The sequence below is a fragment of the Homo sapiens genome, chromosome 15, assembly GCF_000001405.40.
Source record: "Homo sapiens chromosome 15, GRCh38.p14 Primary Assembly".
In the NCBI taxonomy this organism is placed as follows: domain Eukaryota; kingdom Metazoa; phylum Chordata; class Mammalia; order Primates; family Hominidae; genus Homo; species Homo sapiens.
In genome coordinates, this window is record NC_000015.10 from 84,166,058 (window position 1) to 84,183,553 (window position 17,496).

General features: G+C 46.4%; 1 protein-coding gene and 3 pseudogenes across 3 annotated transcripts; 2 read left to right on the forward strand and 2 right to left on the reverse strand.

Moving 5' to 3' along the window:
* Positions 1–489: 489 nt before the first annotated feature.
* On the reverse strand, positions 490–4,927 carry DNM1P41 (dynamin 1 pseudogene 41; annotated as a pseudogene). The gene has a single exon (NR_033787.2). The product of NR_033787.2 is annotated as a dynamin 1 pseudogene 41 (transcript).
* A 490-nt stretch (positions 4,928–5,417) lies between these two features.
* Positions 5,418–7,429, reverse strand: LOC124903544 (uncharacterized). Its single transcript, XM_047433425.1, has 2 exons — positions 6,882–7,429; positions 5,418–6,153 (listed from the first exon to the last, which is right to left on the reverse strand). The coding sequence occupies exons 1-2, from the start codon at positions 7,314–7,316 to the stop codon at positions 6,079–6,081; spliced, it is 510 nt and encodes a 169-aa protein (XP_047289381.1). The 5' UTR covers positions 7,317–7,429; the 3' UTR covers positions 5,418–6,078.
* Positions 6,378–16,162, forward strand: UBE2Q2P16 (UBE2Q2 pseudogene 16; annotated as a pseudogene). The gene is made up of 3 exons (NR_166151.1): positions 6,378–6,528; positions 7,951–8,100; positions 15,925–16,162. The product of NR_166151.1 is annotated as a UBE2Q2 pseudogene 16 (transcript).
* UBE2Q2P7 (UBE2Q2 pseudogene 7) lies at positions 7,878–16,172 on the forward strand (annotated as a pseudogene).

The window sequence follows — 17,496 nt, forward strand, 5'->3', positions numbered from 1 at the left end:
CTGATTTTTAGAAAATGTGAAAATGTAAATCAACCCTATCCATAATAGATTCTCTAAAACTTTATCTTACAGTCACTTTCAAATAACTATTCAAAAATGTAACTGCTATATTAACATCTTAAAATAATTTAAAACATTTTAAAATATGAATACTGTAGTTTAAAACAAAGAATCTAGGGGAAGGAAAAGTAGACAAAGAAATGCCAATTCCAGTCCAAAGCTGTATTTGCCAAGTTTTCTTAGAATGACTTTTACCGATTTATGAATTCTTATAAACAGAATGCATAATGGAAATACTGATTTTTGTCTAAAGTGGCATTATTGACTGCTGCTGTGATGCTACTGTAATGTAATACATTATTAAATTGTTTCAAGGTGCTGTTTTGCCTAAAAATTTTGTGTGTCTTGAAAACTATAGTATTGGGTATTGAGACTCTGCAAATTCTCGGCATGCTTGGCATGAGGTAATCGGTTTTTATTCTTACAAAATTGTAACTATGTAAGTGTGTTTATTAAAAGAACACAAACTAAAAAAGTTAACAGAAATTAAAGTTGTGGGATGAAAAAGTTACAGGATAAAAAAATACTGTGGAAAAGTGGCAAAAAAAAGTTGTGGAAAAAAAGTAAAAAAAAAGTTTTATGAAAAGTTATTTTAAAAAGTTATGAAAAATTAGTTACAGGATTTAAAAAAAGTCATGGGATAAAAATAAAAATAAATAAAAGCAGGCCCCTGTCAGCATAAGCCTGGAGAAGTGGGTCTGGAGTCTTCACCCCCACCATGTCCCTACAACCCCTCCCCAGTCAGCCCTTTACCATTAGGGTAGCAAGACAAGACCCTTGTCTAATGGAGGGAGACAAACAGACCCTTTACCACCTTGACCAAGGCTGAGTCCTTACATTTCTGGATGATGATGTTTGTTATTTAAGAGCCAGAGGTTGGTGGAGTTGGTTTGTTTGGAGGAGGTCTGACGGCCTTCTTACTCTCACCAAAGCAACTTTTCCCTCAGGGGGGCTCCCATCTTCTTACTCAGAGAGGCAGCTGAGGCGGGACAGTGGAGTTAACTGTAGACCAGGCCAGGGCACAGGCTGCTGGGGGTGGCCCCCCTTCCCCCGTGTACATACTGTAGCTGTGTAACATTCTGTATCGTACCTAGCGGAGGTTGCAGCTGGCATATGAGGAAGAGGTTCTTATAATTATTCGCGGCTGGGAAACTTATTTATTGCTAGCATAGGAGCGAGGAAGCAGGCGGGGATGGGGTCATGGCTGCCTGGTGATGGGACTCCTGTTTTTTGTTTTTTGTTTTTTGCTTTTGATTTTGGAATAAATGGATTTAGCCATACTGCTCGGCCTGGTATGTTCCCATTTCCCTCACTGGGTCCTGCAGTTTGTCCCACTGAATGAGGAGCCCCAGAGTGTCTCAGCATGTCCAGCTGGGCTGTTGGGGACCTTCCAGGCCTGTTACCTGTATGCTGCCTGGTGACACCTGGTGGATTTCATGGGGACTGCCATGGCGCCTACGGAGTACACTCTGGCCCTGACAGCCAACTGGTTGAGAAGCCTGATCTAGCTGTGGCAGGGAAGACAGATACCAGTGCCCAAGGGCACTGACTTCCATCCACCCCAGGTGTCTTCCGTTCTGTCCCCCTGCCTCCCTCTCCTGTCTGCACCGGGTGGCCTGTCTGTCCCTCCAGAGTGCCGGCTGCCCCGCAGGTTCCCTCCAGGCTGAGTTCAGGGCCCTGTCCCTTAGTGGCCAGAGCTGGCTTCACAGGGTAAGAGCCAGCTAAGCTCCAGGGACTTTCCAGGAAAAGTGTCCCTTGAAAAGGGTGTGACCTTTTCACTGCTCCCAACAGCACCCTAAAAATGGCTTGGCCTTTTCCATCCCCTGAGCTCCATAGAGAACACAGCCAGCAGAGGACACATTCTCTGTCATCCAGAAATGGGTTTCTCAGCCAAGGGACAGCAGGACTGGTAGAGACTGTCAGGCCACACAGCTGCCTGCACAGCACCGCCATGCTTGGCCAGAAGGGCGGGAGGGATGGCGGGGGCTGGCTGTCCACAGGCCGCGCATGTCCCGGAAGCTCACTGGAGGTGGTGCACTTTGGAGGGGCGATGTCAGGAGACAGCTTCCTCTTGCTGGGCTACAAGATTCCACAAGCACAGCACGGGACTGATTCCCAGTGCTAGAGGTGAGGCAGTTGGCCACGTATATATATGTATATATGTGTGTGTGTGTGTGTGTGTGTGTGTGTGTGTGAGAGAGAGAATTTATAGCTATTTATAGAACAGGGCAGGGGCATACCACAGAGGGGGCACAAGTTTTCAGCAACGGTCACACCTGGACGTGTCAGCTCACCACTACAACAGACTAAGTCACAGAAGAAGGGGGCTGGCTTTGGGGCTGGGGGAGCCACTGTCAAGTCACAGGACACCCGCCCAGGCAGGCTTGGAAAGGGAGGTCTCTGAGAAGAGGAGGGATGTGTTTAGAGGTCGAAGTGGGGCCTGGGGCTCTCAGGACGGGATGGACTTGCCTGACCCGATCAGCTGGCAGTTGGAGAGAAAGCAGAGAGAAAACGGGTTAGAGAAAAGCCAGAGCTGGTGAGGCAAGTGCAGAGTATGGGTGCGCTGCAGCAGCTGTGGAGGGCCGGGGAGGGGAGGGCGTAGGTGTGGGCGTGGCAAGGTTCCTGGAAAAGAGGGGCTGGAAGGGAAAGGGGAGGGAGATGGAGGGAGAAGCTGGAGCTTCATAGGTAGTGCCTGGGGACTGCGGCGGCCCTCCCTACCCCACACACGCTGGCCTGTCTCATGGAACCCAGGCAATCCACCCATCCACCCACAGTTCAGACCAATGCCAGCTCCCTCGGGCTTCCCTCTTCTGTGGTCCCCATGTCTTCCAACGCACTGGCCCAGGGCCACCTCTTGCTTGGAGAGCCCCATCCAACAGCCACCAGACCTGATAGAGAAGGAACACTGATTGAACCAAAATGGTGGAGCTATAAGGGATGGCTGGCTGGAGTGAATGCCAGAGGCCCCTCTGGGCCATCAGAAAGCCCAGGGTCCTCTGAGGAACCCTGGGGAAGGCAGGGAGGGCAGGTAGCCGGATGCCATTGGCCATAGACTTCTAAGTCTAAGAGGGGAGCCTTAACTGGTTGGCGGGGGGCTGCAGGTTACATAGGTGAGGCTGGGCCCTTCCTGCTGGGAAAAGCAGAAGAGGGAGACTCCGTGGCAGGAAAGGGAAGTGAGCTCTCTAGGCGGAGCTCAGCTGGGCCAGCAGCACTATTGGCTGAATAGCACAGGCAACCCCTAGAAGCAACAGGCCAAGGTGCGTGAGCCTGCTGGCCAGCAGTAGTGCTTCAGCAGGGGCCAGGGACCCTGCCTTCAGTCGCACGCTAGCAGCTATCATGGTACCTGGGAGGGAGGGAAGGGGGCTGTGTGTCCTTCCATGGCCTATGAAGTGTGTTGTGGGATGACCGCGTGTATAGGACTCTCAGGCTTTTATCCTAGATCACCACTGGATTGCTGACAGATAGAGGACGTGGGACCGTGACTATCACCCCTAATCTGCCGTGGATTTGGCTCTTGGCACTCCCAGGCTGGGAGCTGGATACCTGCCCTGGCAGCATGACTCAGACTGCGTGACAGGTACGGCGTGCCCAGGATGATGTTCCCAGGCCTCTGGCCGCCTGAGTCCAGCCCCCCACACAACCCCCTCCAAGCTCCCAGCCCCTACACCATAAACCATGAGCTCTGTGCCCTCTCTGATGGTTCCACAACTGCCACCTTGGGCATGGAGCCTGTTGTAAGAGCCCCCAGGCTCAGCCATGGAGACCTTGAGCAGTGGCACTGAGTCCCATGGCTCACAGGGAGCAAAGTGAGACAGCCAGCAGCACAAGGACAGAAAGAGGAAAGAGCAAGTCTGCAGCTCCAGAAGGGAGGGGCAGGGAGCCTGGCTCTGAGGCTCCAGGTATGCCCCCTGTGTGGAGCTGGGGCAGCGGGGCAGGCAGACCATTCATGCAGCAGGCAGTGAGGCATGTACCTACCATGGCTGACGCTCCTCAGGGGCCACTGATAGTGATTCTGAAAGACAGCTTCAAATCACATGGCAGGTCACATGCATGGGTGGGGCAGGCCTGGGGGTGGGGGACACACGCACATGCCGGAGTGTGCACACACATGCTGTGAGGCCCCACGGCCCGCATGCACACTCTAACACATGCCCACAAACAACACGCATACGTCGCCCTCCCCGCCACCTCCCAATGCCCAGCACCCTCACCGGCCGGCACGTGCCGCATGGATCTGGGGCGTGCAGCCACTCGGCACGCTGAAGCACATGCGTGGGCAGAGTCACAACACAGATGCTCACCCGCACACAGAGGCATTTGCACCAGCTCCCTGCACACTCGTGCCTGGCGTGCTCAGAGGACCACCCATGCTGCTCAGGGAGACAGGGCTTGCTCACTAATGTCCGGCTGTCATTTCTCCACCTAAGAGCCTTCCATGGCTCCCTACTGCCTACAGCGTTGAATCCCAACAAGTCATACTCTTTGGACTTTGAAGGTTCTCCACCCTGTGCCCCACCCTCCCCACAGAGCTCTTCCTCATTCTGTCTCTGTTCCCTGCTTTGGCCAGTGGCTATCCGCGATGTGACCCACACTACACCTCTGCCCACACTGCAGCTCTTTACCCAGTTGCCCTCCAGTTCCTCACCACGTATGCCTATCTCAGTCATGCCCCAGACTGCATTGAAGCCAGGCTGCCTTGAAGAAGCTCTCCCAGACTGCCCTTTTCCCCAAGGCAGGGTCATGATTTACCAAAGGTTTCGTGTGTGTTAGCAAGACTGGAGTCGGAGCAGGCATCAAACTTTACATCCCATATGTCACACCTCACCATAGATCTGGGTGCCAAATAGCCTGAAGAGTCTGAACTCACGTTGGAAGTTAGCAAAGTGCTCCTACAGCCGCATCTGCAGTTAACATAGTATCCCTATGGCCACTGTCTCCCTTGATCCCCACAGCCATCCTAGGAGAAAGGCAGAACGTCATTTGCTAGAAGGGATGCTGAGGCTCTGGGAGGGAAAGGGACTTGCCTAAAGCCCCAGGGTGAAGCAGCATCTCTGGACTCTCATAGACAGCCTAGAGCTGCCAGCATTCCCTTAGGATCTGTGCCCTCGGGCCTGGCTTAATTTTTTCCTCTGCAAAGAGCCATCTGTAGGGCCAGAGGCTGGCAAAGCCTGACTCATTACTGGACGCCAGTTCCTTTGCCTGACTTTCAGTGATTTCTACCTTACCCTGGGGTTTTATGTTGCTTGTCTCAACACTGTCACTTCTCATTCCTCCACAAGTTGAATTGCTCACTCCAGCCACTTGAAGCATGCTCTTCTTAACACAGTTAGCTCTAGGCACATGGTTGGTGCTAAAAAGGAAAAAAAAAAGAAGAGCATTATGTCAATTTCATTGATTAACAAAAGCGATGGCTCCACTGCAAAGCAAAGTTGATACTCCTGGGCCTCTGAGTTCAAGAGCCTTTTAGACAAATGGCTCTGAGCTAAAACATGATCATGCATGCATATGCATCTGTCTTGGTCTGATGAGATAATCTGGATACTTGCTTGTTATCCTTGAGCATTTTCCTGCCTCATTAATGTATGTGTAGCCACCACAATAATAATCATAGCTAATAATGGCTACAGCTGAGGGCTTTCCTGAACCAGGCAGTGGTTTTAAAAACTTTAACCCCTAAAGCTGAGGACTTTCCTAAGCTAGATAGTGGCTTTGAAAACTTTAAAGTTTTCACATAGACTGTCATTGAATAATTTCTGTTTTTCAGATCAAGAAACTGAGACTTACTATCATATTTGGGATTAAGCTAAAAAAAAAAAAAAGAAAAGAAACAGAGGCTGAACGCTGTCAAGTATTTCACAGCCAGCAGGAAATCGGAACTTGAACCCAGGCAGTCTAGCCCTGGGATCCTTTCCCCTTACCCATTATCCAGTGTTGGCTACACAAAACTAATGAGTACATATTTTCAACTATAGTTTAAGTGGGTGACATATTTTTCACTATATTTTATGTAGGTGACTTTCAGTTTGGGGGTATTCTACTTACACAATCTATTGAGCTGGATATTAACTGAGAGCAAACAGAAACTAATGAACTCTGAAAAACATAAAACATGAGCAACATGACGTCACTGCAAGAGACAAAACAGCACATAGCCTTCTTGTGACTGTATTTTGCTGACAGTCCATGAGCTGATAGCCTGAACTCAGCAGTGCTGTTCCCTTGGGAGACACACACACACACACACACACACACACACACACACACACACACACACACACACACGAGTTGGTGGTTTTCTGCCCCCCACCCCCACCCCAACACACACACGAGTTGGTGGTTGTGCTGCCCGGAGCCTCCAGTCCGCGAGTGTGAAGAACGGACCAGATGGGTCCAGCAGTGCTGGGTCAAGGCCAGGAGGGGCAGCCGGAAGCGCGCGCATGCTCTGGACTCCTGCAGCCGCCGAAACGGGTGCGCAGGGGGCGCGCGGGTTGAGGGGTGAGGGGCGACGGGTGTGAGGGGCGAGAGGGACGGGAGCGGGGTAGGGGCAGCCCTTTCCCAGGCGATAGCGGGGGCTGTGGTGCTGTTGCCCTTTTAAGCTGCGGCTTGACAGGAGCAGCGCCTCCTGTCGGTGGAGTCTGTTACAAGGGGAGCAGCCGCCCAGGCCGCCACACAGCTCCCCGCAGAGGCCTCGGTGCCCCTTGCCATTTTCCAGCCCTACTCCGACTAGAGTTGAGGCATCAGGGAGAGGCGGAGCTGGGAGAGCGCCGCCGAGAGGTCCCGCGGGTGGTTGCGGCCGTGACAGCGGCTCCCGACGGGCTCACCTTCCGCGCCCCTCCCGCCAGAGGTGAGAGTAAAATGTCCGTGTGAGGGTTCAAGGCCAAGCTGAAGTTGTTGGCCTCTATCTTCCACAAGAACCAGGAGCCGCCGCCGCAGCTCACGCTCCACTGCAACATCACGGTGAGGCGCCCAGTGGCGGCCTCACGGGGCAGGGCGAGGGCGGAGAGGAGGCGCCCAGAGTCCCGGGACAAAGGCGAGCCTGCCCGGGAGAGGCCCCGGTTCCCCAGGCGGGGCGAGCGCGCCCCTTTCTCCCGCGTCTGGCCCGCCCCGCTGTGTGAGGCTTGCGTGGGAGGAGGGGGAGGGCGCGTCTCTCTGGCTCCTTGCCGCGGGGCTGGCTTGGGGGCTGCCGGCACCTCTCGCCCCAGTCGCTGCGCCCTGAGGTGGGAGCCCGCGTCGCCCGCAGACCTTTTGGGGCCCATGATCGCCCTCAGTCAGCTAGCCTGCTCCCCTGGACCGCGACGGGGAGTGGCAGGGCGGCTCCCGCTGTTGTTTGAGCCCAGTGAGGGAAGGGGAAAGGCCTTTAAGATTTTCGGTTTTTTGGCCGGGCGCAGTGCTCATTCCTGTAATCCCAGCACTATGGGAGACTGAGGCAGCTGGATCTCCTGAGGTCAGGAGTTCTAGACCAGCCTGGCCAACATGGTAAAACCCTGTCTCTACTAAAAATACAAAAATTAGCCGGGCATGGTGGCAGGCGCTTCTTGAGATGGAGTCTCACTCTGTCGCCCAGGCTGGAGTGCAGTGGAGCGATCTCGGCATACTGCAGCCTCCATCTCTTGACAGTCTGTGGGTTCAAGCGATTCTCCTGCCTCAGCCTCCCGAGTAGCTGGGATTACGGGAGCCCGCCACCACGCCTGGCTAACTTTTGTGTTGTTTAGTAGAGACGGGGTTTCATCATGTTGGCCAGGCTGGTCTCGAACTCCTGACCTCAAATGACCCATCTCTGCCTCCCAGAGTTCTGGGATTACAGGCCTGAGCCACCGCGCCCAGATCCAAGGCCCTTAAGCTTAAATGCCTCGTTCTTCAGTCAGGTTTTCCTTGTTCCCGCATGTTCAGCCAATCGTGTTTAAGGAGAAACTAACAATGAAAACGGACTCGTTGATGGAGGAAAAGTTGGAATGCAGCCTCTGGTGCTGTTTGAGCGATCCCTCTATCCCGGGTCGCTGCTGTGTTCTGGAAAGGCGCATTGTACCCTGGATGCAGCAGGTAAGAGTCCTGTCCAGGTGCTCTGCCCGCTTTTTCTTTCAGGCTTCTGTATCAGCTGTTTTTCCCCTGTAGAATGTGCCCCTGACAGCCACCCCCTAACCCTACCCAATTTGTCTTTACGTGTCTGACCATCAAGGCTCTTCTGGGTCATATTTAATTCATGCTGATATTTCCCCTTCCTCCCCTCTTTAGTCCTCACTATTTTTGCTTTGGTTATGTTATGCTGTATTCTGTAAGGCTTTAAAAAAAATTTTTATGGTGGCAGGGGAGAATGTTTTATAATTATGCTTTGTGCTTTTTATCTTCCACTCAATAAATGCTTGGTAAATATTTGTTTTATTGAATGTATGACCCTATTCTAGCTATATTGTGCTTGAACAAAAACCTTAACTGCCTTGTAAGTTAACTGCTAAGAATTTGTCAGAAGTGCAGACATAACATCAAGAACTTGTCATGGATAGTACAAAAAGGTCTCTAAGGGCTTGATGGAGGCCTGTAAATTGACTTCCTATGAAAGAGAGTGTAAGAAGTGAAAATGTAAAGCATGACTGGAGAGCCAGAGTGATGAAGCCAGGGTCCCTTTCTCCAGATCCTTTGTAACAGTGTTATGTGATCTCTTCTAGAAGATCGTTCTGAAAGATAATGCTAACTCGGAACCTAGGAAACCATCCAGTGGGTTTCTGCAGCTTAGGTGTTTCAAATCCTCATCAGCACGTTTGTTTTCTCTGCCTCAGTTTGCTTACAATGATGTTCTCAGTAGCTACAATTGCTGTCTTTGAATATGTAAGCATTTTTTTTTAGATGACAGGGATATATGTGCATTTTTATTTTACCAAGTGTTAGAATTTTTACTCTGCTTTTGTGGGCTCTGGGTTAGCTACTTGGTTGTTGTAAAATGATTAGCAGGGAAAGCTGTGTGTGTGTGTGTGTGTGTGTGTGTGTGTGTGTGTGTGTGTGTGTGTGTGGTTTCTTTTGTTGTCAGAGGACTTAGAATTTTATTTTATATGGTAATTCTGTCAATTTACTTTATTCTCCACCCCACATTTATTGAACAGCAAATTATGAAAGTAATGTGTCCCATAAGCAGCCTTCAGAAGAATTACAGCTGCTGTATATCTGAAATTCTTTTTTTTATTTTTTATTTTGAGATGGAGTCTCACTCTATCACCCAAGCTGGAGTACAGTGGTGCAATCTTGGCTCACTGGAACCTCTGCTGCCCAGGTTCAAGCAATTCTCCTGCCTCAGCCTCCTGAGTAGCTGGGATTACAGGCACCTGCCACCGCACCTGGCTAATTTTTGTAGCTTTAGTAGAGACAGGTTTCACCATGTTGGCCAGGCTGGTCTTGAATTCCTGACCTCGTGATCAGCCTGCCTCAGCCTCCCAAAGTGCTGGGATTACAGGTGTGAGCTACCGCACCTGGCTGAACTTTCAAGAAGAAGTTTGTGCATCAGTTTTCAAAAAATTATGATATCAAAAGATAGCTGTGCCCTACATTTGGAAAGATACAAAAACTGAACATACTGGCAGGCAGTTTTGCTTGCTGGTGCTTGAGATAGAGGCACACATTGGTCTCAGTGGAATTATGGAGAAAAATAGATAAAGTTATTTCTAAATAAGACCAAAAAATCCTTTTCTTAAGCAGTGACAGGTAAAGAGGTTGTCTTGACTAACCTTGAATTGTGTTGCCCTTGATTGAGACAGTTTTATGGTGGGATGGTAGTGGTGATAAACTTGCTGGAAATTTGTCTGCTTATAGTAACCTTTGTGGTAGCTGTCACAGACAACTTCATCTTCACAGGCCTTGAAATTAGTATAAAACTAACAGAATGGAGGAGAAACAAAGGACCTGAATAATTAGATGCTTAGATAATTGTTCCGTGTTTTCATAACTGGTGAAAAAGAGCAGTATTAGAAGCACTTACACATTCTATAGAAGGAACACTGCCTGAATTTATATTGCGATTTTTGAGCACCATTAACTGTATAAAAACAGGCATATTGTAGGTAATATTTTAAAGACAAACAGAAAATTTATCTTTTCAAGATGGATCTAAAACTTATCAAAATTACAAAATTTAAAACGTGATTGAAAAATATTAATGCATAGGTTTAAATATTGGTCATTTTAAATGTCTTTCAAAATAGATTGTCTCTTAAATATTCAACTGAACAAACTTTGAACATGTAGAGTTTGTGCCGAAGGTTAAATTTCCTGGGGTGATGGATATTTTGTAATATGGAAAACAAAACCTTCTTATTTTAAGAAATTTAGAAAACTTTTAGGCAAAACTAGAAAATATTACCTATGTAATTCTACCACTCAGAAGGTGCCACTGTCAGAAATTTGTATCTTTCCAGTCATCTGCTCACCTCTTTTCTCCTGTGCTTATATATGTTTCCTCTCCCTTAAAAATCAGATATTTGTTTGTAATCTGCTTTTTCACTCAACAGTATTGTAGATCCATGTTATAACTTACTCCTCTACATTGCCTTCAGTTATTGTGTGCTTTCTGTTGGATGACTTTACCATGTAGTCAGTCATGTTTTCTGGTACTGAATACATACGGGTATGTGTGTGTGTGCGTGCGTGTGTGTGTGCGTATTTTTTTGTAACTTAACTAATGCTTTAGACATCAGTAGGTAGACGTAAATCCTTGAAACCTTCCACGTGGTGACTTTCAGTTCTCATTGCTGAATTTGTTTCCAGAGATGGAAGAAATTATATTGTATGGGAACTTTTTTTTTCTTTTTTTTTGAGATGAAGTCTTGTTCTTGTCGCCCAGGCTGGAGTGCAATGGCGTGATCTCACTGCAACCTCCACCTCCTGGGTTCAAGCAATTCTCCTGCCTCAGCCTCCCGAGTAGCTGAGATTACAGGCGCATGCCACCATGCCTGGCTAATTTTTGTATTTTTAGTAGAGACGGAGTTTCACCATGTTGGCCAGGCTGGTCTTGAACTCCTGACCTCAGGTGATTTGCCCACTTCAGCCTCCCAAAGTGTTGGAAATACAGGTGTGAGCCACTGTGCCCAGCCTTTTTTTCATCTCAGTACCAGCTTTTATTTATCAGATTGGTAAAAATGTTAGAAAGTGTGCAATGAAATGGGCATTCTTACAGTCATGGCAAAAAATATAATTATCTTTGACTTTCTAGAAAGTAGTTTGGCTTTCTAGAAACTTGTTTGAATTCTCCCTGTTTAGGCAGGATGAATTCTCACTACCCCAAGGTGGCCAACCTTGTCCCTGTGATTCCATCTCTCCCAGAAAGAGAGGTCTAGTCTCAGGGAAAACCCAGATTTGTTTGGCTTAGCCCACCTGACAGCTAATCACTGGAAATGGGGTGGGCTGGTAGAATCCTTTGGTCAGGCTTTGTGTTGAGAGAGAGGTGGAAAGATGGGAGGGAGGTAGCAAAACTTGCCTCAGTGGAACTATGTAAGTTAATATAGAATGGCAAAAGGATGTTTCTTCCAAGGAAGAAATTCTAGGGAAGCAAGAAAGTGGAGGGGAAGGCAGCAGTTCTCCAAGTTTTGGGGTCAGGATTCCTTTACACTCTTAAAAATACATTGAGGGCCCAAGGAGCTTTGGTTTATGTAGGGTATATCTATTGGTATTTATCACTAGAAATTAAATCAGAAATATTTAAAATATTCTTTAAAAGCTCACCACATATTGTTATAAATGCTTTTATGAAAAGAAAATTTCTAAACCCAAAGTAGTACAATCTTACACCTTTTGCAAATTTTTTTGATGTTTGATATGTCATTTGCATGATGTTTGACATGTCATTAGCAAATTGATATGTCAGTTTGCTTCTGCATTCAATTTATTGTGTGATATTTTCTTGAAAAAATGTGAACAAAGACCAATCTCATACAGATAACATTTTAGATCATTGTGGATATATATATATTTTTTGAGATGAGGTCTTGCCCTGTTGCCCAGGCTGGAAGGTAGTGGTGTGATCACAGCTCACTGCAGCCTCAGTCTCCGGGGACTCAGGTGATCCTCCCACCTCAGCCTCCGGAGTAGCTGGGACTACAGGTGTGTACCACCACATTTGGCTAACTTTTTGTATTTTTTGTAGAGACAGGGTTTTGCCATGTTGCCTAGGCTTCTTTTTTGATACTCCATCAAATCTTGGTTTTTCTTGAACTTTGGATCTTCCACCCTTGCATGATATTACAACATCGTGCATTGGTCACTTATAAAATAGTGGTTCACTAGGATCTTCTACATGTTGATACATTTGATTGTACAGTATCAAAATACATTCATCAATACCACCATCAATCTCATCAGAATACTTTTGGAAAGTGATGGTGGACATAAGTTTTCTAAAATTCTAATTTTTTGTTCAAAAGCTTGAATTTTATTAGTAATTTTGTTATTGAATTTTATTATAGCCTGTCTGTTGTTTTCCTTGAAATGACAGAATCTCATGTTTTGAGAAAATATCTGCCAGAAATGCGAGTTAAAATAACATTTTTTGTCAGTCAGCCTTTCAAGTAAAAATGGTATTCCATTAAAGTGGTTAATTCACTTCATGACTTAGTCACTCAAGGGTTTTTTTCTCAGGCAGCCTGTAGGAATGCTCATGTATACTTCCCATTTCATCACTTGAAATATTAAAAAGATATATTCAAGGATTTAGATATAGTAAAATATTCACTGCTTCATCATAGACATTTTTTTTTTTTTAATTTTTGAGATATGGCCTTGTTCTGTCGCTGAGGCTGGAGTGCAGTAGCGTAGTCACAGCTCACTGCAGCCTCAACTTTCTGGGTTCAGTCAATCCTCCTGCCTCAGCCTTCCAAGACGCTGGGACTACAGGCATGCAGCCACTGTGTTCAGCTAATTTTTGTATTTTTTGTAGAGATGAGGTTTCACCAGGTTGCCCATGCAGGTCTTGAACTCCCGGGCTCAAGGGATCCCCCTGCCTGGGCCTTCCAAAGTGCTGGAATTACAGACATGAGCCAAAATTCCCAACCTTATCATAGACATTCTTAAATGAAACTAACCTTTTGTTGCCCTTCCTTTTTATTTTTATTTTTGAAGACGGAGTTTTGCTCTGTTGCCCAGTCTGGAGTTACATAGGTGCAATTTCAGCTCAAGGCAACCTCTGCCTCCCAGGTTCAAGTGATTCTCCTGCCTCAGCCTCCTAAGTATTTGGGAATACAGGCATGCACCACCACACCGAGCTAATTTTTGTATTTTTAGTAGAGATGGGGTTTCACCATGTTGGCCAAGCTGGTCTCAAACTCCTGACCTTAGGTGATCCGTCGACCTCAGCCTCCCGACGCACTGGGATTACAGGCGTAGGCCACCATGCCCCACCCACCCTTCCTTTTTAAACCTTTCCTGTTCATAGTGAAGAATACCATGACTACTAGTAGTAGTTTGGTGTTACTGCCTTTGTTTGTGCTAAAGTACCAGCATTTTTACCCACCATTGTATTTGCACACTTACAGCAAATGTCACCATGTTAATATTCCTGTCAAAATAGTTTGGACTTGGGGGTCTGAGGGCCGCACTTTGGGAACCATTGAAATAGGTACTTAGACGTACTAGATATCATATCTTTTCATCTACAAGGTTTTTAAAAACTTGATTTCAGTTAATTTTTTTTTTGTAATTTTTAAAATATGGTTTTGAGGGGTTTCAGTCCAGAGCAACAACACATATTTTATTTTGCTTACGCTGAAGTTTACTAGAAAATACTAACCTAACAGAATGAAGTCCTAAATCTAATTGCAATTTCCTTAGCCAAAATAAAAAAAACCCAAAATTAAAAGCGTAAAAATAGTCCATATGGTGTATTCTCAGTGTATGCTGAAGAATTTATAGAAGAAAATGCAATACTCAGTAAGTGGTGTTCTTTAAGAATAGGATTGGCTGGGCGCAGTGGCTCACGCCTGTAATTCCAACACTTTGGGAGGCCGAGGTGGGCGGATCATCTGAGATCAGGGGTTCGAGACCAGCCTGACCAACATGGAGAAACCCCGTCTCTACTAAAAATACAAAATTAGTGGGGCATGATGGCACGTGCCTGTAATCCCAGCTACTCAGGAAGGCTGAGGCAGGAGAATTGCTTGAACCCGGGAGGTGGAGGTTGTGATGAGCTGAGATCGTGCCACTGCATTCCAGCCTGGGCAACAGGAGCGAAACTCGGTCTCAAAAAAAAAAACAAAAAAAGAAAAAAAAGAATAGGAGTAATTCTGGAGTTTCTTTTAGCCTGTAGGAGTAATTCTGAAGAGTTTCTTTTAGCCTGTAAAGAGATTTGGAACACAGTAAGAGAGGAATGAGAAGAATGAGAATAGTAAAATAAACCATTATTGAAGAGATATACTGTTAATGATGTCCTCCATCAATACAACTTGTTTTTCTTTTTTTTTTTTTTTTTGTTTTTTGAGATGGAGTCTTGCTCTATCGCCAGCCTGGAGTGCAGTGGACATCTCAGCCCACTGAAACCTCTGCCTCCCGGGTTCAAGTGATTCCCCTGCCTCAGCCTCCTGAGTAGCTGGGACTACAGGCACCCGCCAGCGCGCCCAGCTAATTTTTTTGTATTTTTTTAGTAGAGATGGGGTTTCTCCGTGTTAGCCAGGACGGTCTCGATCTCCTGACCTCGTGATCCGCCCACCTCGGCCTCCCAAAGTGCTGAGATTAGAGGCGCGAGCCACCGTGCCCGGCCCATCTTGTTTTTCTTAAAAAGGAACCTTCAGTAAATATTTGGTTTCTGTGGCTTCAGCTTTAATTCAGATTACAGTTTTCAAAGCAGTGTTGCCTAAAGTTGTTTGTGCAAAATTGTTTTCTGTGACTTCAACCTAGTTATTCTGAAGCTAATATATAATAATAATGGTTTTCCCCCAATTTATAATAGAGAACAGTACAAAGTAACAGCAGAAATGTCTGTTAGTGGGTGAAAGCACATAATGCATAGTTCATTAGCTTTTTTAAAAAATCACATGTAATTGTGTTACAAAAATATATGTATAGTAATGGCATTTACTTGGTATTACCTGGTTTGTGTGATAGAATAAAATATTAGAATTTTATGGTGTTTGAGTTAGTTATCTATTGCTCTGTAACAAACTGAGCAGCTTAAAATAACAAACATTATCTCAGTTTCTGTGGGTCAGGATTCTGTCCAGTTTACCTTGGGTTCACTGGCTTGGCCTCTCACCAGGCAGTGAAGGTGTTGGTGGTGGCTGTGATCATCCCAAGGCAGGATAGGGAGAGAATCTGTCTCCAAGATCAGGTTGGCAGGATTCATCTCAGAGGCTGCTGGACTGGGCCTCCGTTTCTAGATGGCCATTGGTCAGAGGCCTTTTACAATACCTTGTCACGTGGGCCTCTCCATAGGGCACCTCATCACATGGCAACTGGCTTCCATCAGAGGGAGCAATGGAAAGAGCAGGAGAAGGGTGACCAAGGCAGGCATCGTAGTCTCCTTGTAGCCTCACCTCAGAAGCGATGTTACTTTTGCTGTATTCTCTTTGTTAGAAGTGAGTCACTAGGTCCAGGGGTGGAATTTTACAAGGGTGTGAATGGCAGGAGGTGAGGGTGATCAGGGCCATTTAAAGGCTGCCTACCAGTGTTGAAGAAAATTGTTGACTTCTATGAGCTGTAGCAGCAGACAGTGCTATGCAAGGAGAATGGCTGTCTCAGAAGTCCAGCTCCTCACATGGGTTTAAACGTGTTGCCTTTTCCCCCTGATACATTTTGTTTAAATCCATGGTCATCTTGCCATTTAGTGGTGTGGTTTAATTGCATATTTGGGTTAGTCTGTATGTAAACATTTAACATAGGTGTCTCTGGGTTAAACAGGAATCCTATTCATCTTCTTCACCGATATGGTCTGTGGACTCTGATGAGCCAAATCTGACATCAGTTCTGGAACGTCTAGAAGATACTAAGGAGAACAGTTCGGTGAGGAAAGAAACCAAGCTATTTTCTCTTTTCCTCATGAACATTATATTTAGAAATTAAATGTTAAGTGATAATATTATATAAAAACATGATTAACAACTGTAATCTTAGAGGAATTAAAGTCTGGGTATTTTAAGTCCTCCAAATCTTATTTACTACCTGGTTTCTCTTTATTATTTCCCACATGTATAATCTTAGTTTAGATTAGCAATTCGGGATCTCTTTTTCCCTGAATTCTAACCATTAAGCCAAGCAAGCATTTTGGGTGGAGACCACTAGCCAAGGTGGGAAGTAGAAAGAAGACCAAGGTGGAAGTGAAGGGAGAGATGGGGAGAATGACACCAAAACTAGTGGGAGGGGATTGCCTTTTCTTTCAAGGGTCTGTAAGTCTGCAGTAAAAGTCAAAGGTATTCAAATAGGAAGTTTGTTTTTGTCTTTAGTATATAAAGAAGCATAACTTTCCATTTTGCAAAAACTTTAGAAACCTTTTTTTCTTGATTATAAAACTTATAAGCAACCATTATTGAGAAGATTAGTAAAATATAAAAAAATAAAAATCTCACATAATTTCTCTACCTAATATAACTACTGTTGACATGATAGCTAGTTTCTATCAGTATGTATTGCTTCTTTGTTATCAAAGTACTTATACCCTTACAGATATGTTTAAATAGTTGAGGTCATATTCTATAAATATCTATAAATAGCTGGGTGCTGTGGCTCACACCTGTAATCCCAGCACTTTGGGAGGCCGAGGCAGGCAGATCACAAGGTCAGGAGTTTGAGACCAGCCTGGCCAATATGGTGAAACCTCATCTCTACTAAAAATACAAAAATTAGCCCGGTGTGGTGGCAGGTGACTGTAGTCCCAGCTACTCGGCAGGCTGAGGCAGGAGAATTGCTTGAACCCAGGAGGCAGAGGTTTCAGTGAGTCGAGATCGCACCACTGAGGTCCAGCCTGGGTGGCAGAGCAAGACTCCATCTAAATAAATAAATTATGTATACACACACCCTCATATATATATACACACATATGTGTGTGTATACACACACACACACACACACACACACACACACACACACCTACACATGACCGATTGCCTCGCCTCTAGCGTTGGGAATCAGTCACCGTGCTGTCCTTGTGGAGTCTTGTGGCCCAACAAGAGGAAGCTCTTCCCTGACATTGCCCCTCCAAAGTGCGCCACTTCCAGTGCGCCCCACTGTCATGCCCGGCCTGTGGACAGCCAGACCCTGCCATCCCTCCCACCCCCGACCAAGCATGGGGGTGCTCTGTAGGTAGCTGTGTGGCCTGACAGTCTCTACCAGTCCTGCTGTCCCTCAGCTGAGAATCAAACCCATTTCTGGATGACAGGGAATGTGTCTTCTGCTGGCTGTGTTCTCTGTGGAGCTCAGGGGAGGGAAAAGGCCAAGCTATTTCTAGGGTGCTGTCAGGACCGATGAAAAGGTCAC